Source organism: Homo sapiens, chromosome 11 (assembly GCF_000001405.40).
Source record: "Homo sapiens chromosome 11, GRCh38.p14 Primary Assembly".
Lineage (NCBI taxonomy): Eukaryota > Metazoa > Chordata > Mammalia > Primates > Hominidae > Homo > Homo sapiens.
In genome coordinates, this window is record NC_000011.10 from 76,745,016 (window position 1) to 76,763,110 (window position 18,095).

Sequence of the window (18,095 nt, forward strand, 5' to 3'; positions counted from 1 at the left end):
TATTTTCCAACACTGGCAATACTCCAATAGTGACATTTTTTTTTCTGTTAAGATCTGCAGACATAGATGAGGATAGTAATTGGCATCAATGCCGACTTAAATACATCCTCATGACTTTCATATCTTAGCCGAACGGCACAGGGAAACTCACTGCTCCACCTGTGGACTGCCCATGGCAGTGAGGACTCCCAGGTGGCTTCCCTGGGCCTCCTGGGCCTCCTGGGCCACCTCCCTCTCTCATCCGAAGCTAAGGTTAGCCTTAGCTAACCTTAAAATAAAGGTTTTTAAAAAACTTAAAAACCATACTTTATTTTAAAATAAAACAAAATCTGATGTCCTGAGATTTGATCCTGGTGTTTGATCACAGACCCTTGGCCTGTTTCAACCCAGTCCAGCTCAGCTAGGGGTGAACTCAGACACGAGGCATCCCATGGACCATGCTCCAGTCCCTCTGTGAGACCCTTGTAGAAGCCAGTCTGTCCCTCTGCCTCTCTGCCTGCTTCCCCATTTTCATACCAGTGCAGCCTGAGACACTGTCTCAGAAACACCCTCCAGCTGCTGGGCAGAGACAGGCAAGAGAGGGGAGACTGAGGCAGGAGACCAGTGCTGCAGATGCTCTGATGCCCTGCCCTACATCCCCCAAGGTCACCCCAGCTGCAATAATGTCATGCTGTGACAGCGGCCCACCCCATGTGCCACCCTCTCTCTGCTTCTCCGCCCAAGAAGATAAGGGCTTTCACATGAGCCTGTTCCGCCCTACAGATACCTCAGCGTGCCCAGTGAGACCAAGTTTGTTTCTCACACACACTTCATTGTTTTTTCTCCTCATTTTCCTCACTGCCTGCTTTGCTTCTAGGAGGATCACCCCCACACTGCCCCTGATAAACTACATAACCCAAGTCCTTATATCAGGGTCTGCTTTTGGGGGAACCCTAATGAAGACACCATGGAGGAGGCTGAGGCAATGGTGCAGAGGAGAGATAACGAACTGAACCTGGAGAGGGACTGTGAGGGCGGAGAGAACTGACTGAACAAGCAGAATGGGTGGGACCTGGCAACTGATTAGATATCGGGGGTGGGGTGAGAAAGAGGGTGGAGGCAAGAGTTATATCCAGGTTTCTCATTAAAGCAGCACCTTTCCTGTGAAAGTATAGGGAGGTATGGTGGCTCACGCCTGTAATCCCAGCCCTTTGGGAGGCCAAGGAGGGTGGATTGTTTGAGCTCAGGAGTTCGAGACCAGCCTGGGCAACATGGTGAAAACTTGTCTCTACAAAAAAATACAAAAATTAGCTGGGTGTGGTGGCTTGCACCTGTAGTCCCAGCTACTTGGGAGGCTGAGGTGGGAGGATCACTTGCACCCGAGAGGCAGTTTGCAGTGAGATTGTGCCACTGTACTTCAGCCTGGGCTATATGTACTTATGAATATATTGCATATACTTATTAATATCCTTGTGAGATATTCATAAGTATATTGATCATGTAAAAAAAAAGATTTAAGGTGGCTTATGAAAATTCATAAAATTACAAGATGGTGTGTGTACAGGATTGTACATTTAACCAATAGGATGTTAAAGGCAATTATCAAAACAATGATGTAGGAGAAAGTTGGCCGGGTGCGGTGGCTCACGCCTGTAATCCCAGCACTTTGGGAGGCCGAGGCAGGCAGATCACCTGAGATCGGGAGTTTGAGACCAGCCTGAACAACATGAAGAAACCCCATCTCTACTAAAAATACAAAATTAGCCGGGCATGGTGGCACATGCCTGTAATCCCAGCTACTCTGGAGGCTGAGGCAGGAGAATCGCTTGAACCTGGGAGGCGGAGTTTGCAGTGAGACGAGGTCTCACCATTGCACTCCAGCCTGGCCAACAAGAGTGAAACTCCGTCTCAAAAAGAAAAAAAAAAAGAAATGTTATTAAGTTAAAAAAATTAGCTTGGAAAATAATATTCATAGGCTAGGCACAGTGGCTCACACCTGTAATCCCAGCACTTTGGGAGGCCAGGGAGGGAGGATTGCTTGAGCTCAGGAGTTCGAGACTAGTCTGAGCAAAATGGTGAAACCTTGTCTCTACAAAATACAAAAAAATTAGCTGGTCATGGTGGTGTATGCCTGGAGTCCCAGGTACTCAGGAGGCTGAGGTGGGAGGGTGGCTTAAGCCTGGGGAGGCTGAGGTTGCAGTGAGCCGTGATCACTCCACTGCACTCCAGCAACAGAGTGAGATCTCTTTTTTTTTCCTCAAAAAAAAAAAAAAGAAAAGAAAATAGCATTTATAAAGGAGAGCTCATTTTGGGAGTATGTATGTACATGCGTATGTGTAACAGATTCCAACCACAGAGTACTCAAATGTGCAAAAGAAGTGGCAATTTTATTTTTCTAACTAAATTTAGTTTCTATTATGAGCCACCATTCTGTGAAGTGGAAACTTAATCTCAGTCACTTCTGGATCCCCCCCTCACCTCATTTTCCCTATTCCTACAGGTTGGTCCTCCAATATATCCGTCTACAGTGGTGTGCCCTGAGACACTCCGTCAGCTTGTCTGAGCTCTGGCTATCAGTTCTCACTGGTCATTGCCATGTGGTTCCCACCCACATGGCCCTTCCGTTCCAGGCAGCTTTCTTGGCTGCTACAGGGTCCTTGCGGTAGGCAGACAAAATGTCCCCCTTCCCCAAGATATATTCACTTCCTAATCCCCAGAACCTGTTAGTGCTGTTATTACCTTATATGGCAAAAGATGAATATTGCCTTATAGGGCAAAATATGCGATTAAGATGAAGATCTTGACAACAAGGGCTTATCGTGTGTTATCTGGATGGGTCCTAAATGCAGTTGCATGTGCCCTTACAAGAGGCAGAGGAGATCAGACAGACTCACAGGGAAGGCCACATGCAGATGGAACCGAGAAAGATGCAGGGAAGATTCTCTCCTGGAACCCCCGGAGGTAGTGTGTCTCTGCTGACACCTTCGCTTCAGCTCCCTGAACTGATTTCAGACTCCGGAACCAAGAGAAAACACATTTCTGTTGTTTTAAGCCACTCAGTTTGGTGTCATTTGTTACCGCAGGAAACTGATACAGCTGCACGTCAGTATACTGTGATTGCTTCCAGGTGTGTGTAAACAAAGGGGCACCTGGGATGGGGGCTCCCCAAGGCTCTCCATCACTCCCCACAACCCCCTGGGGCCCAGGACTCCCTCTCTTGCCCCAGTCCCTTTCCAGGGGTGTGGGACATTTTGTGAAGCTCTCTCCGGCCCATCTGCCTGACTTCTCTCAGGCATCTGTGCTCTGCTAGCCAGGACCACAGCGGGCTGTCAGGAACTCGAGTGCCCTGGCGCCTCCCAGGTTCTGGTGAGAGGGAGGGCACAAGTCCTCCCTGCTCTGGGAGTCCCAGCACCCCTCAGTCTCCATCTCGGTGTGGCCGGGTCTCACACACTCTCTTCCTGGGACAAAACTGGGGAAGGCGGGTGGTGCAGGACCCCTCCTTAGCACCCACAGCTCCTTGAAACTCTCCCTTCCCTCCATCAGAATATTTTCTGGCTGGTCTGGAAGCTGGGTTGCTTGACTCTTCACCACTTCTTCCAAATGTGTTTCTTACACTCAAACCCCCAAAGCCAAAGGCCTTTATTGTCAGTGTTCCACCATAGCATGAAGGTGTGGTCCCCAACAGCCAGGGTGAGAGCAAAGGTCATGAGTTAAAGAAACTCTGGAGGAAGGGGAACAACGTTTAATAGTTCAATTTTTTTTCTAGCTATGCACACACACACACACACACACACACAAACATACATATACACACATACCTATGTATATGATTGGAGAGAAATACTACAAAAAAGATTAAAATTGCTTAGCTTTGGTTCACAAATATTTTCTTCATGGTCCCTTTCCTGTACCTTTCCCCAAATACCTAACATTAACATGTATTATTTTTGTAATTGAGGAAAAATCGTTATTTTAAAGGAATTGTTTAAAGGGCATAACATTTCAAACAAAATTTTTAAGTAGGCATGAAAGAAAACAGTGCAAGAATAAAGCTGGAATTGCCTAAAGAGCAATGGATTTGCCATGGGGAGCGCACATGCTTTGCTTCCCACTTCCCAGCAGCCCGTAAGCATGAGAAACGCAGCCACAGTGTTCATGAGATTGAAACAGACCAACTGCTCAGAAGGACTGCTATTCTTAGGCCCAAAAGCAGACAGAAATTTCTGCCAAGGATCTGTTAGACACATAGTATTAATCTACTTTTTAAAGAGGAAAGTGAAGCTGAGTGCTGAGATTATTTGCCCAGAGATGCAGCTACCGAGAAGGGCAGCTGGGATTTGAACCCACAGAATAGCCATAAGGAGTGATCCTTTTAGAACATGTCACATCATGTCTCTTCCCTGCTCAAAACCTCCAATGGGCCAGGCGTGGTGGCTCACACCTGTAATCTCAGCACTTTGGGAGGCCAAGGCGGGTGGATTACAAGGTCAGGAGATGGAGACTATCCTGGCCAGCATGGTGAAACCCCGTCTCTACTAAAATACAAAAAATTCGCTGGGCATGGTGGCGTGTGCCTGTAATCCCAGCTACTCAGGAGGCTGAGGCAGGGGAATTGCTTGAACCTGGGAGGTGGAGGTTGCAGTGAGCTGAGATGGCACTACTGCACTCCAGCCTGGGCAACAGAGTGAGACTCTGTCTCAGAAACAAAACAAAACAAAACAAAACAAAAAAACCCTCCAATGGCTCAAGTCACTTAGGGCAAAACCAAAGCCCTTACCGTGGCCTGTAAAGCCCTGGTGAACCCTCAGTAACAAACGGCCTGACCTCCTGCCCTAATGCTGTCCTGTTCCCTGCCTCCCACAAGAAGCCGGGTGGCCCCACCTTAGAGCCTTTACCATGGCTGTTCCTTGGCCAGAAACATACTCCCTACAGACATTTGGATGATGAACTCCCAAACTCTTCAAGCCCTGGCCCAACTGTCCTTCTAAGGAGGCCTGCACTGACCACCCAATTTAAAATTGTAACCTACCCCCTTCCCCCCAACACTCCCCCTCGCACTGCTCTATTTTTATCCATAGTGCTGTCATTTTCTAACATTCACTGTGTTTGCTCTTTGTCATCTGTTCCCTCTGCTAGAAAACAAGCCCCACAAGGACAGGATTTAGGGCTTTTGTTCACTGATGTCACCTAAGTGCCATAGACAGAACCTGACACATAGTAGATGCTCACTAAGTTTTTGTTGAGTGATTGAGTGATGCACAGAGAATGCTCCCCACATTGCTTCACACATGGGGAGGCTCAGAGAATGTGGCCCTATTTAGCTTGTGCAGGTCAAGGTCAGGGCCACGCCCTTCTGCATGTGTTATGATGGATGGGTCAGGTCCTGTGTTAGGCACTAGAGGTCAAAATAACCCAGTGCTCAAGTACTTCCCATTCTGATGCGGAATACATGCCAACTAACATAACACAGAAAGCAAGACAAATTTTTTATTGGAGGAAAAAAGTATCACCATAAGGAGATAATTTATATGCTAAAATCATGCTGGGCACTTTTGTATAAGTTTTCTCACCAAATGCTCATAGGACCCACAGGTAGGTACAAACAGCACCATATGCAAGCAAGTAAACGGAGACTCATTGAGTCAGGTAACGTGCCCAAGGTCTGGTTGGTGTGGGAGTCATTCTGACCCAGGGGGATCTTGGGAAGTTGCAGTAGAGCTGAAGGGTAGGTAAGATGTTAACAGAAAGAGAAGGCAGACTGCACATCCCAGGTGGCAGGGACAGCGGAACCAAGGCACAGACGCAGTAGCCTGTGAGATGTACTTAACAGCAGCCGGAATCAGGAAAGGGCAGGTCTGTCTGCTATGCCACCTGGACCCATGCTGAAGTGGGACAAAAGTCTGGTGCCCAGCCTGGGGATAGGGTGTGCCCAGGCTCACTGCTGAGATAGGGAGTGAAGCCTGTAGTCCTGAAGACGGCCTCACCCCTCCATCTAGGCCCTCATTGGCAGGACTGGCCCTCTGACCCTGGCCTCCTCGGGCCTGCTTCAGGCTGCAGCATCCCCGGGTTTGCATCTCTGGCTCCTCAGCAGTCACCCTGGCCACTTGGTCAAGAACCTGCAATAATAAGTTGGGCATGCTGGTTCACACCTGTAATCTCAGTGATTTGAGAGGCCGAGGCAGGAAGATCAGTTAAGCCCAGGAGTTCAAGACCAGCCCAGGCAACAAAGCAAGATGCCCATCTCTACAAAAAAAAAAAAAAAAAAAAGTGATTTGCTGAGTGTGGTGGTGTGTACTTGTAATCCTTGAGCTAAGGAGGCTGAGGCTTCAGTGAGCTATGATTGTACCACTGCACTCCAGCCTGGGTGACAGAGGAGACCCTGTCTCTTAAAACAAACAAACAAACAAACAAACAAACAACCTGCAAAAAGTCTCCAGGCACCTTCACTCAATCTGCTGTGGGCTTGAGGGCCACTAAAAAGCAAGCCAGGCCCTTTTTCCACGCTCCTTAACAGTTTGGGCTTAAGTAGGGCAACTGCCCCAGCATTTTGTGACTCTTAATTTTTTATTTTAAGTCTTGCACTAGGATTATCATAATTTATATAAGGGCAAATGTGTATGAGCACTGACTGTGCACTTTCACATTCCTTATTCAATTTCATTCTCTTCGCAAGTTTGCAAGGTAAGTTTTACGTCTCCATTTTCCTGAGAATCTGATATATGCAAAGCCACAGGTGATCAGCGATTGAGATTCAGTCATTCATCATCTCCTTTTCCCTTCATTTGTTTACTATTCAATTCTTTTTGAGCATCCCCCCTGGCCAGCCACAGAAGGCATAGATGGGATTTGAACACAGATCTCCTGACTCCTGGCTTATTCCTTTGTCAGGCATTCAGATTCCCTCTCGAGTAACATTTATCAAGAGCCTTCAGTGTTGGAGGTTTTATCCATGTCTTAACATGTAATTCCCATAACAGTGTACCAGGAGGGAATCTGCTGTACCACTTTACAAGTTAAAAACAGAGGCTCAGAAAAAAGAAATCGTTTGTCTGAAGCCTCCCATTGGCAGAGCCTAGGATCCCACAGGGCTGAATCTAACCTGTAGATTCCCACCTCAGGGTTCACATTCCATCCCATTTTTCCTTTCTCTGCCTTGCCCTCTCGTGCCTGGGTTCTCTTATATCCCTCGGGCTGGGTTCTGGGGTGAAAACTGAAGCAGCGAGCTATCTAACAGCCCAGCTCCCAGCGGGCTCTGCGGGGGAAAGGCAGCAGAGGAAAGCATTCCCCGGTGTGTGTATGTTTGGGGGTGGGGGCATAAGTGCAGCCCCGGTTCTGAGGGCTGCTCCCTCGCCAGGCACTGGAGCAGTCAGGGCCTGGAAGGGACCAGGCTACTTCATGCAGGGTAGGGGTGGGGCATCTCTAGGCCAGCTAAGCTCAGATGACCTTGGCCATGGGTCACAGTCAGTCCCTTCTCCCCCTTGGGAAGGCAGCGCTGGGATGTTGTGGGTCCAGTACACTCCCCCGACTGTCCTGGGGCACACACCCGACAGAGGTGTGTGGAGGAGGTGGGGTGGGAGAGGGGACTCAGGCTGGTCAGGGCAGGTTCGGAGGCGGGCCTGGTTTGGAGAAACAACCACCCATCAGCCAGGCTTGGGGAGGGGAAGGCCAGAGGAGAGGAAGGAGGAGTCTGGAGAGGGGAGAGAAAGACGTAGAAAAACAGACAAGGAGAGAGGGCAGGAGTGGGGGACACAGGTACTGGGAGAGAGTAGAGACACAGAGACAAGAGAGAAAAGGCAACAAAGACAAAGCCAGAGACGCCCAGCCCGAGAGACAGAGCCACACGGAGAGAATGGAGAGGGGAGCAGGGTCAGAGGGCCCGGACGACGCAGAGAAGGACGCGAAAGGACGTGAGAGGGACTTCCCCCAGGGGCAGGGAGAGGCCTTGGGCAGCTCCTCCGCTGGGCCGGGCTGCCTGCCTGCTGGACTCCGGGAAGGAGGCAGTGACCGCACCCATCTGGAAGCTGTCAGGTCCCTCAAGGATGAGGGCGTTGGGAGGAAGCCAGACATGAGCCACGTCTAGAGAGAGGAAGCGGCGGGATTTGAAAAAGATGTGAGTGGGCAGAGGGGGCAGGGAGGTTGCAGTAGACTGGGCTCTCCTGTCTGGAATTTTTCAGTGGGGAAAAGAGAGAGTCTGGCAGTTTGGGGCTCTTCTGGAGAAGGCCTGGACTGGGCAGGTTGATCAGAGAAGGCCAGCTCCCCAACCCCACCTCTAGGAAAACAGAGCCCTAGAGAAGGGAAGTGAAGACCCAAGGTCACAGTTTTCAGGTCATGTCATCATTCATTCATTTATGCACTCATTGATTCAGCAAACATTAACTGAGTCCAGTACTGTGCTAGGTTCTAAGGGAACATAGATGAGCATTAGATAGTCTCTGCCCCAGAGCCCACAGTCTGTGGGGAAGATGGATGTGACTACACAGTGTGCCAAATGCCACCATGCAGAGAAGCCCAGGGGTGTGAAGGTCATTCTGGGGGATTCAAAGGCAACTCCCTGAGGAGGGATACCAGGGCTAAACCGAACCGACCAGGAGGAGCAGGGAGGGAGGGCATGCCAAGCTGGGAAGGCCAAATGACCAAAGTGTGTCACACTGGTGGGGGGAGTCATCAAATTCAGCTCACTTTACTCTCCAGTGCACAGGGAAGCTGTGATTTTATGTGTTACTAATCTGACTTTCCTCCCAAACTCCTCCCTCCCTGCCCTAACCCCAGGTTGGCGGGAAAAAGTTACAGAATGCCATCTAATTTGGTTGAAAGTTTGGTCTGATCTGATCATTGAAGCTGTCTAGGTAATATCAGTCTGTCTTGTATAAAAACGTCCTGTCCCTCAGGTCGCTTCCCCTTTCACCTGCCTCTCAGCTGTGTGGGAGCATCAGGAGTGGTGGGGGAAAGGGTTTTTAGTGGGAGCAGCCAGGCAGGCCGATCGTCCTGAACCGGCAGATGCAGTCAGTGCCACTGCCTCTCCAGGGCCATCCTGCGCCTGTCCAGTTGCTGGTTTCTCCCATGGGGTCTCCAGCTCAGGAGCTCAGGGCCTTCCTTTAGCCCAGGCCGTTCCTCCAGTGGTGGCCCTGGCCAATCTGACTGCGCTTGGGCTCCTGGTGCTTGCAGACCCACAGTCTCTGCCCTGGTCCCCATCAATCCCCCTGCCCAGTGGGCTCTCATCGGCCTCTGCCGCCCGGGCCCTTTACCCTTTCAGGCCTATTGGTTCACTGGCCCTCAATTCAGCCTCCTGGTGCCCTTGGGACAGGCCAGCCCAGGGAAGCTGACGCTCAGGCCTCCCTCTCTTGGGCCACATTGTAAGTCTAAGTTTACAGGGCTGCATTGCCTTGTTGCTCAGTGGCATTCCATAGTATAAATATATTGGAGTTTTTTGTTTTTCTTTTTTGAGCCAGGGCCTGGCTCTGTTGCCCAGGCTGGAGTGCAGTGGCACAATCTCAGCTCACCATGACCTCCACCTCCCTGGCTGAAGCCATCCTCCCCCAATCAGTCCCCCTAGTAGTTGGGACTAGAGGTGCACGCCACCATGCCTGACTAATTTGTGTTGGAATTTTTAACCACTTCTTATTCTTGTACATTTTCCTCCTATTTTTCACTATTATAAACAGTACTACAATAAATATCCTGTACTTTCCTCTTTGTGCACATATGCAGGTGTTTTTCTGGGGTAGATATCATGAGGTGAATTGCTGGGTCAAATACATAAAGATATGTGTATTTAAATTCTAATAGAGCAGGAGTGTCTAATCTTTTGGCTTCCCAGGGCCACACTGGAAGAAGAGTTGTCTTAGGCCACACATAAAATACACTAACACTGGCCAGGCGTGGTGGCTTACGCCTGTAATCCCAGCACTTTGGGAGGCCAAGGTGGGTGGATCACCTGAGGCCAGGATTTCCAGACCAGGCTGGCCAACATGGTCTCTACTAAAAATACAAAAACGTCTCTACTAAAAATACAAAATACTAAAAAAAATACTATATATATATATATATATATATATATATATATATATATATATACACATATATCTGGGCATGGTGGGGGGCGCCTGTAATCCCAGCACTTTGGGAGGCCAAGGTGGGTGGATCACCTGAGGCCAGGAGTTCGAGACCAGCCTGGCCAACATGGTCTCTACTAAAAATACAAAAACGTCTCTACTAAAAATACAAAATACTAAAAAAAATACAAAAAAAATTATATATATATATATATCTGGGCATGGTGGCGGGCGCCTGTAATCCCAGCTACTTAGGAGGCTGAGGCAGGAGAATTGCTTGAACCTGGGAGGCAGAGGTTGCAGTGAGCCGTGAGCCGAGATCCCGCCACTGCACTCAAGCCTTGGCGACAGAGCAAGACTCTGCCTCAAAAAAAAAAAAAAAAAAAATACACTAATACGATAACTGATGAGGTAAAAAAAAATTCACAAAAATGTTTTAAGAAAGTTTATGAATTTGTGTTGGGCTTCATTCAAAGCCGTCCTGGGCCACATGCGGCCCGTGGGCCACAGGGTGGACAAACTTGTAATAGAGTCTATCAGATGGCCTCCAAAAAGGCTACGCCAATTTACATGGCCAGCAACTCTTATCAACATTTACTATCATCAATATTTTTCAAAATGTGTCAATGTTATAGGCAAAAACGAATTTCTGATTTATGTTCCTTTTATTTATTCATTTATTTATTTATCTATTTATTTGTTTGATAGAGATGAAGTCTCCCTATGTTGCTCAGGCTGATCTCAAACTCTTGGGCTCAAGCAATCCTCCCACCTTGGCCTTCCAAAATGCTGGGATTACAGGCATGAGCCACCACGCCCTGCTCATGTTCCTTTTAAACTTCCATTTCCCTGATGACCAGTAAGGAGGGCATCTTTGCATGTATACATCCTTTTTATTTCCTTTTCGACTTTCCTATTCAAACACTTTGCCCAGTTTTCTATTTTGTCTGTCTTTTCTTATTGATTTACAGGAGCTGTTTCTATTGCCCAGACATTGATCTCTTCTTATACACGGGGCAAATATTTCTCTTGATTTGTCATTTACGTCTTAACACTATTCTGTCTCTTATTACAAAAAAAGTTCTTAATTGATATGTGGTCAAATGTAGCTGACTTAATTCTTTAGGGCCATTGTGCTTTATTTTTTTTTTCTAAATTAAAATTAAAATTTGCTCAGATCTCCAATCTTATCTCTCTTGGGGAGAGACCCCCTGAATTGTCCCCCACACAGTGGGAAAGGGACTTAGTTCAACCTTCCCAGCCAGTGAGCCAGCACCTGTGTCCAAGGAACCCTTGCGGCCATCACTCCTCCCAGCCACCAGCAGCACCGCATGGAAACTTGGTCCTGCCAGCTGCAGCAGGGCCCTCTGCCAGGCCATCGTGGTCCCCTGAGGGATCATCCCACTACCTCCATGCCAAGCTCAGATAAGGGTGCACCTGGTCTCTTTGCCTGGCAGCTCTGCCTGCGTGGCCCCTGGCCGTGGGTGGTCCTGGCTGGGTGGAGGCTGGCGCCACCATTCTCTCAATGATAAGACTTCTGTTCCCTCTTCTCCTCTGGGTTGGCTCAGGGGCCTGGCAGCTTTTCCTTTTCAGCCCACAAAATACTTTAATTACACTCTAATTACACTCCCATTCCCTGCCCACACTGCTGTCCCCACCCAGGCATGGCTTTTCTCCATGCTTCCCTGCCCACCCCGTTCAAAGGGTGGCTGTGTTTCCCACGAGCTGAGAAGAATACAAATCCTCCAGCAGCAACCTCACCCCTTACCAACCCCTTGTACCCTGACAGCCTAAGCATATGGTGTTGCAGCTATTAGGGGGACCCCATTCTCGTTTTTCATTCCCAGGCAACCCCAGAGTCCAAGATGCAGGTTGCTTCTGGGGTCTGCTTTCTCGAGAACCCTGACCCACCCCTGTTCCTCCAGTGACCCCTCACTCTCCTAGGACTGTGGGGGCCTGCCCTGCAGCAACGTTGTAAGGAAGGCCACATTCAGGAAATCCAAGGTCATTTTCTGCCTATTACGCTTCTTGTTAAATAAAATACAACTTAATTCCTTACAGGGCCCTCCTTCTGGGAGAGCACCCACTGCTCATCTGAATTCTAGAGAACCACTCAAGTGCATATAGACGGCATCCATCCTAAGAAGGAAAGTGCTCTCTAAGAAGCCACTATGCCTGAAATGCCACCATATGTATACACCATTCCACTATGGAAAACATTGCCTTTTCGGGGCTCTTCCTGTGAAATGCAGGTATATTTAGCTCTTCATGCTATAGTATGAATTAGCCTATCACTGGGTTCCCTTGTGACAAGAAAGCCCACGGCAACCAGACTGCCCAGGTTTCCCAGGGACATCCTGATTCTAAATATTAAAACATTGCATTAACCGGAATCTATATAACAAAAGTGTGTACTCCCTACACATCATTCTGTTCTTTTCAAGGAAATGGTTTGTTGAGTGTGTGACTGCATATGGTTTCATTTTTATGCCTTATTGACACTTAACCCTGTCCCAGGCCATGAGCTCTTGCTGGACATACCAGAACAAAGACATAGTCTCTTCAAGATGGCATTCACAGCCATAGGGCAGGACGACAGGTGGGCGACAACCATAGCCAGCAGAAGAGCAGACACTGGAACAGAGGTTCAAACCAACAACTATGGAGCGAGCTGAGGTGGTAACTCATGGTCCGGGGAGCTGAGAAAGTCCTGAGGGATCTCTGGGTGTAGCCAGATGGAATAGACTGGCAAGGGCATTCCAGACGGAAGGAACAGCCGTGCTAAAGCCCAGAAGCTGAAAATAGCATCTCGCTTTCAGGGAGTGGCAATCACCTCGCTACTGTGAGGGCTGGAGAAGGGGCGGGTGGAGTGAGAGGAGGGCAGCAAGGCAGGGGCCAGGTCATGAAGGGCCTTGCATTTACCAGTCTAGAAGGGAGTCTGCAGGTTTTATCTTGAATGCAATCAAGACTCATGGAAGATTTTATTTATTTCTTTATTTTAGCCTTTTATTGAAGCGTAATACATATACAGAAAAATTCACCTATCATAAGTATGCATCTTGGTAAATTTTCACAAGGAATATACCCATGGAACCAACATCCAGATCAAAATCTGTCAGGCGTCTAGCACCCAGAAGCCCCTGCGGGTCCCTGCCAGTTACTATGTGCCCCCAAGGCTGACCACTGTCCTGTCTTCTGGTACCACAGGTTTGTTTTGCCTGTTTTTTGAACTTTATAAATGCAAGTGTACAGTATGAACTGTGTCGTGTTCTGTTGTTCAACAGGACGTCTGTGAGATTTCTCAATATTGCAGCTATCTCCGTAGCTTGTAGCACTCCATTGTGTGAATCCGCCACTGTCTGTTGATGGGCACTGGGTGGTCTCCAGTTCTTGGCTATTATGCATAGTGCTCTGAATATCCTTGCATGCGTCTTTGGTACACATGCCTGTTGGGTATATTCCCAGGAGTAGACTTGGTGGGTTGGAGAGCATGCGCATGTTCAACTTGAATATGTGACGCCAAATCATTTTCTCAAGTGTTTGTAGATGGAGGGTTTTGAGCAAGGAGGTGGCAGGAGCAGGCCTGGGTCTCGGCCGTCCCTCTCTGCACAGGCTGAGTGTGAAGGGCATAGGGACATCCCAGTGGAGCTGTCCTAAGGCTAGAGAGCAGTGGGTCTGGAGCTGGGGAGCTGGGGAGCTAGGCAGCAAGGCTCTGGGCTGAAGAAGGTGGAGAGGGTGTGGAGTGAGGAAGGTAGGGACCAGGGCCAGGCCATGGATACAGCCATAATGAGGATGCCACGGAGACAGAGGAGCCCTCAGAGGCAACTGAGGAGGTGCAGCCTAGAGAAGAGGGAAGACCCGGCAAGAGGAAAGGAAGCAAATCACATGGGTGCCAAGGGGAGCATCTGAGGCAGAGGCAGGCATAGAGCACCAGAGGCACTAAGAGGGCCAGTTAGTCAAGACTGAGCAGGATGTGTCCACCAGACTTGATAAGGGAGCTGTGGGGACCTTAAGGAAGTCATGGTCAATGGGGTTGGTGTGTGTGCCAGACTGCAACAGGACAAAGTAGGGAAGAGATGAGGGATGAGCTTTAAGAATTCAGCACTGCCCCTGGAAGCATGGTATTGGTGCTACTGAAGTCAGCCCACCTGGAGGCCCCAGCATCCTCCCAGATGCAGTGGAAGCCATTCTGCCATTCCAACTAACAAAGGCCTCCCATGGCCAGTGCATTGTGGAGGAGAGTGGGGTGGAGATTCAAGGAGATTAAAAGGGCCAGGCAGTTCTCTCTACTCTTCTGTTGTTTATCTGAAGCTTAAAGGTGATTAGAGAGTGTAGAAATGGAGTAGCTCTGTGGGATAAGAATGAAAACAAAGAACTCCCCACAGACTGTTTGCAACACAAGGCAACTTTGGTCACTGTCCAGGTCTTTTCCTCCCTGGGGACACCTTGCCATTTACTCTCCCTGAGTGTGGCTCTCTCATACCAAAGAGACCTATATCCTAACCCTAGAGATGACAACCACAGCAGAGTATTCTGCCAGGCCTCGTGTTAAATGCTTCCCACACAGCATCTCATGTAATTCTCATTACAATCTGATGAAGATAGAATAGCGTATCATTACCCCTATTTTATAGATGAGAAAACTGAGACTCAGGGAAGTAAAATGACTTGCTCAAGATTACCCCAACCAGAAGGCTGCAGACACTGACTCCAAAGCCTGTGTGCTTCTGCCAGCAAGTCAGCTTCCCCAACACCCAGGTTCTTAGACTCTTGGAGTCATTATGTGGACACCTGCTCTATCCTTTGGGAAAATACAAATCTACCCCTTTTCTCTCCACTTCCTTGAAGTAGGACTCTGTTTTGTATTAGGAAACAATGGTGCCACCACAAGAGGGTAGAATTTTCTACTAGCTGCACAACCATGAGCAAGTCATTCCTCCTCTCCCAGCTTGTTTTCTCCCCTGTAAAATGGGGATAATAATTTAACCTCTCAGGGCAAAGGTGAAGATTAACTGAGCTGTACATTAAGGCCCAAGCGCGGGTGTCTTAGAGCCAATGGTCTACCCCTGTGAGTTCTGTTCTTTCCCCCTCCAGTTTCCATGCTTGATCCTCCCCTCTGCCTTTCTCACCAGAGACCTGGGCCTCTGCATGGACAGATCCAGGGGTGGTCTTTGCTGTGAGATCTGAGTAAGGGCTCATGTTTGCTTTGGGTGACCCAGATCTCCCCAGCTTCTGACAGCCTCCGCTCACCTTTCAGCCTGAAGAGCCTCTTACCCCAAGACACCAACAAACCCTGCAAAAGAAAAAAAACCCAAAAGACAAAAAACAAAAACAAGGCTGAGAGCCTTTTGGCTCACAGCCACTGAACCGGCCTACCAACAGGCTAACTGTTGGGATCCTCATTTGAACACACACCCTGACTCAGAGGCTGATAGGCATGTAGCACTTGCTGGGTCTTCATTCGAGCTTATCTGACTTAATCTCATGAAATTCCTTGCATGGGCACACACATGCACACGTCCTCACACAAAAGCCCTGCTCACAGTTGCACTCACAGCCAAGGCCACAGTCACACATACTCATAGCCAATAATATATGCCCCAACTCAATCTGCTAGCAAGTGAGTTTGGGGGTGCAGGGGCAGCAGGTGAGCAGGATATAGAGCTCTGTTATGTGGGAAATTTCATGGTCCTGAACAAACGGGGGTCTGTTTTTAGACCCCACTCCAAAAGAAGAGTGAAGCTTCCAGCCAGAAGGGGCTTTGCTGTGATGTGTGTGCCCATCACTGCAGAATGGCAGGTGCTCACTGCAGAGAACTGACAAAGGCTCCGTGTGGAGCAAGGGCTGAGCTCCGTCAAGCAACCAAGCTTGTGGACGCAGAAGCGTCACCTTAATGCTTAACTCTGGTGCTGATGGGCATGATGCTGGTCAGTTCAGCGTTCCCTCAGACAATTCAGGGCTTTTCCCCACTCGTATTTGGAGTGTATTTCTGTTCTGGAGGTGGGAGAGGTACAGAGGGCCAGGGCATTGGCCTAGGTCACCTTCAGTCTATAAGGGCATCCCCTGCTGCCCCTCATTCCCACTGGTAGCTCGAGCACCAGCGTCTCCCCTCTGGCATCTGTGGAAGGCTCACATTTCCACCTGCTCAGACCCATAAGGGGCCTGGGCTTTGAGATTTAGAGGTCCATGCATATCACAAAAACTGAGATACAAACATATAGAGTCTTGTAATAAGTCATTTTGAAAGCCCACTAACCAACTGAGCTAACAAAAATGACCAGAGATGGAAGTAGGAGGCAAATTTCCTCCTCTCCCTGCCAGGCTGGAGGATCTGGGCTGAGATGCGGCACCAATTGAGAACGGAGCAGTCCTGTGTCTCAGGCTTGCTGAGGTGTCAGGAGGGGAAAGCACATTGCAGAGGCGGCCCTCATCCCCTCACATATCCATGTGGGCTCTCAGCTGCCCCCACTATGCCTGGACCCCTCAGATCAGTGCTACCAGCACCATTAACCTCACAGCAAGTCTGAGCACCGGGAGGTCATAAGCTCAGACAGGCTTTGGGGCAGTCATTAAATCAGGCCAAGGGCAGTGGGTGGTAACTGAGTGCAGGAAAATAAGGAAGCATCTTTAAGGTTCTGAAGGAAAATAGAAGCACAGAGGCATTCCCATGGGGCTTGGCTAAAGCTCTGGACCCAGGTAAGGTGGGACTCAGGTGGCACAGGGCAGGGGGTAGAGGACAGGAGTTCCCAGCTGTGACTCTGCCCAGATTCACCAAACCTTAGAGCTGGAGGTTACAGTGGTCTCTGTGTAGCTGAGGAAGCGAGGCCCAGGGTGGGCAGGGCTCACAGCTGAACCAGGATTGAAACCAGATCTTTTGATAAATGGCTCTGCCTACCTCCCCATGCACCTCAGGAGCCCTGGAAGTTCCAGGCTATGACTTGTCCCCATGTGACTGGGGCTTTGTTTCTTCATCATAAGATAATTATATTAATAAGACCAAGTCCCTGAATCCCACCTTGACCCCAAGCAGGGCCCTGCATCTCCATGATGACAGCTTCCATCCCCCAAAGACAAATATAACCTTAAGAAGAGCTGGTCAAATTAGCAAACTCAGCACATAGATTTTCAGCTGTTGCACTGCTTTGGAAACTGACCTGAGTTCAAGGACCGGTCCCACTACTGACTTGCTAGGAGCAACTGGATAGTCACCTGATCTGTCTTAGCCTCAGTTTCCTCAGCTTTTCAAATCAAAATAACACATTCCTTGCACAGTTCTTGTGAGAATTACAGAGAACATCTTGCATTGTGCAGGCACGTAGCAGGCCCGAATGACATGTAGTAGGTCAAACCATGAGGAATTGTCAGTTTTTTGAATAATGGATCCACCTAATAATTATCTATTTTATTCGTATTAGCATAATCATTACCAACTATGTGCATATTACTTTATCTCTCAGTCTCCTCATGCAAAAAAATGGAGATGATATGCAAAGCACTCTGCATAAGGCCTGGCTCCCTGCAGAAGGTGCTCACGAAAGCTTCACCTCCTCCCTCCCCATCCCCTCCTCATGCAGTCACTTCTTCTTCCATGGGTGGCCAGAGGGAACTTGTCCTCTTTCCTAATTACCACAGCCCTGTTGGCATGAAGCTGAAACTGTGACCGAGAGATGGGAGAGGAGTAAGAAAATGGCTTGTAAAATAATCTTCTCAGAGAAGTTTAAAAGTTAAAAGAAAAGGAAAACATGTTGTGTTTTCAAAAACCTGACACTGCCACACTTTCGGGTCATGCCCAAGACTTCCGGTGGGTTCTGGAGCAGGAGACCAGAGCACTGCAGATGGGCCTCTCCCTCCCCATCCACCCCCTGCTAACACTCTCCTAGACTCCCTGAACAAGGTTCCACAAGGAAGTTATTCTGCATGTTCTGAGTCACAGCCGACCAAACAATCAGAGTATCTTTTTGGCATCCAGATGCCACCTGGAGCCATAATGGAGCAGAAGATTCCAGGTCCAGGAAGGCCCCAGCATCTCTGAGTCCAGCCCTCTGCCTCCAGGTGGAGTAGCTG

The 18,095-nt window shown here is 48.9% G+C and overlaps 1 long non-coding RNA gene across 1 annotated transcript, besides 1 other annotated feature; it reads left to right on the top strand.

The window, feature by feature from the left end:
* Positions 492-804: a silencer, noted in NCBI's record as "fragment chr11:76456551-76456863 (GRCh37/hg19 assembly coordinates)". NCBI's record gives its function as "represses an EF-1alpha promoter that drives an FKBP-Casp9 reporter gene in an ReSE screen in HepG2 liver carcinoma cells {active_cell/tissue: HepG2}" and the evidence as "EXISTENCE:reporter gene assay evidence [ECO:0000049][PMID:32094911]".
* LOC105369397 (uncharacterized) lies at positions 7,646-13,285 on the top strand. The gene is made up of 4 exons (XR_950337.3): positions 7,646-8,089; positions 12,093-12,283; positions 12,549-12,707; positions 13,034-13,285. It is a non-coding gene; the product is annotated as an uncharacterized LOC105369397 (long non-coding RNA).
* Positions 13,286-18,095: the final 4,810 nt, after the last annotated feature.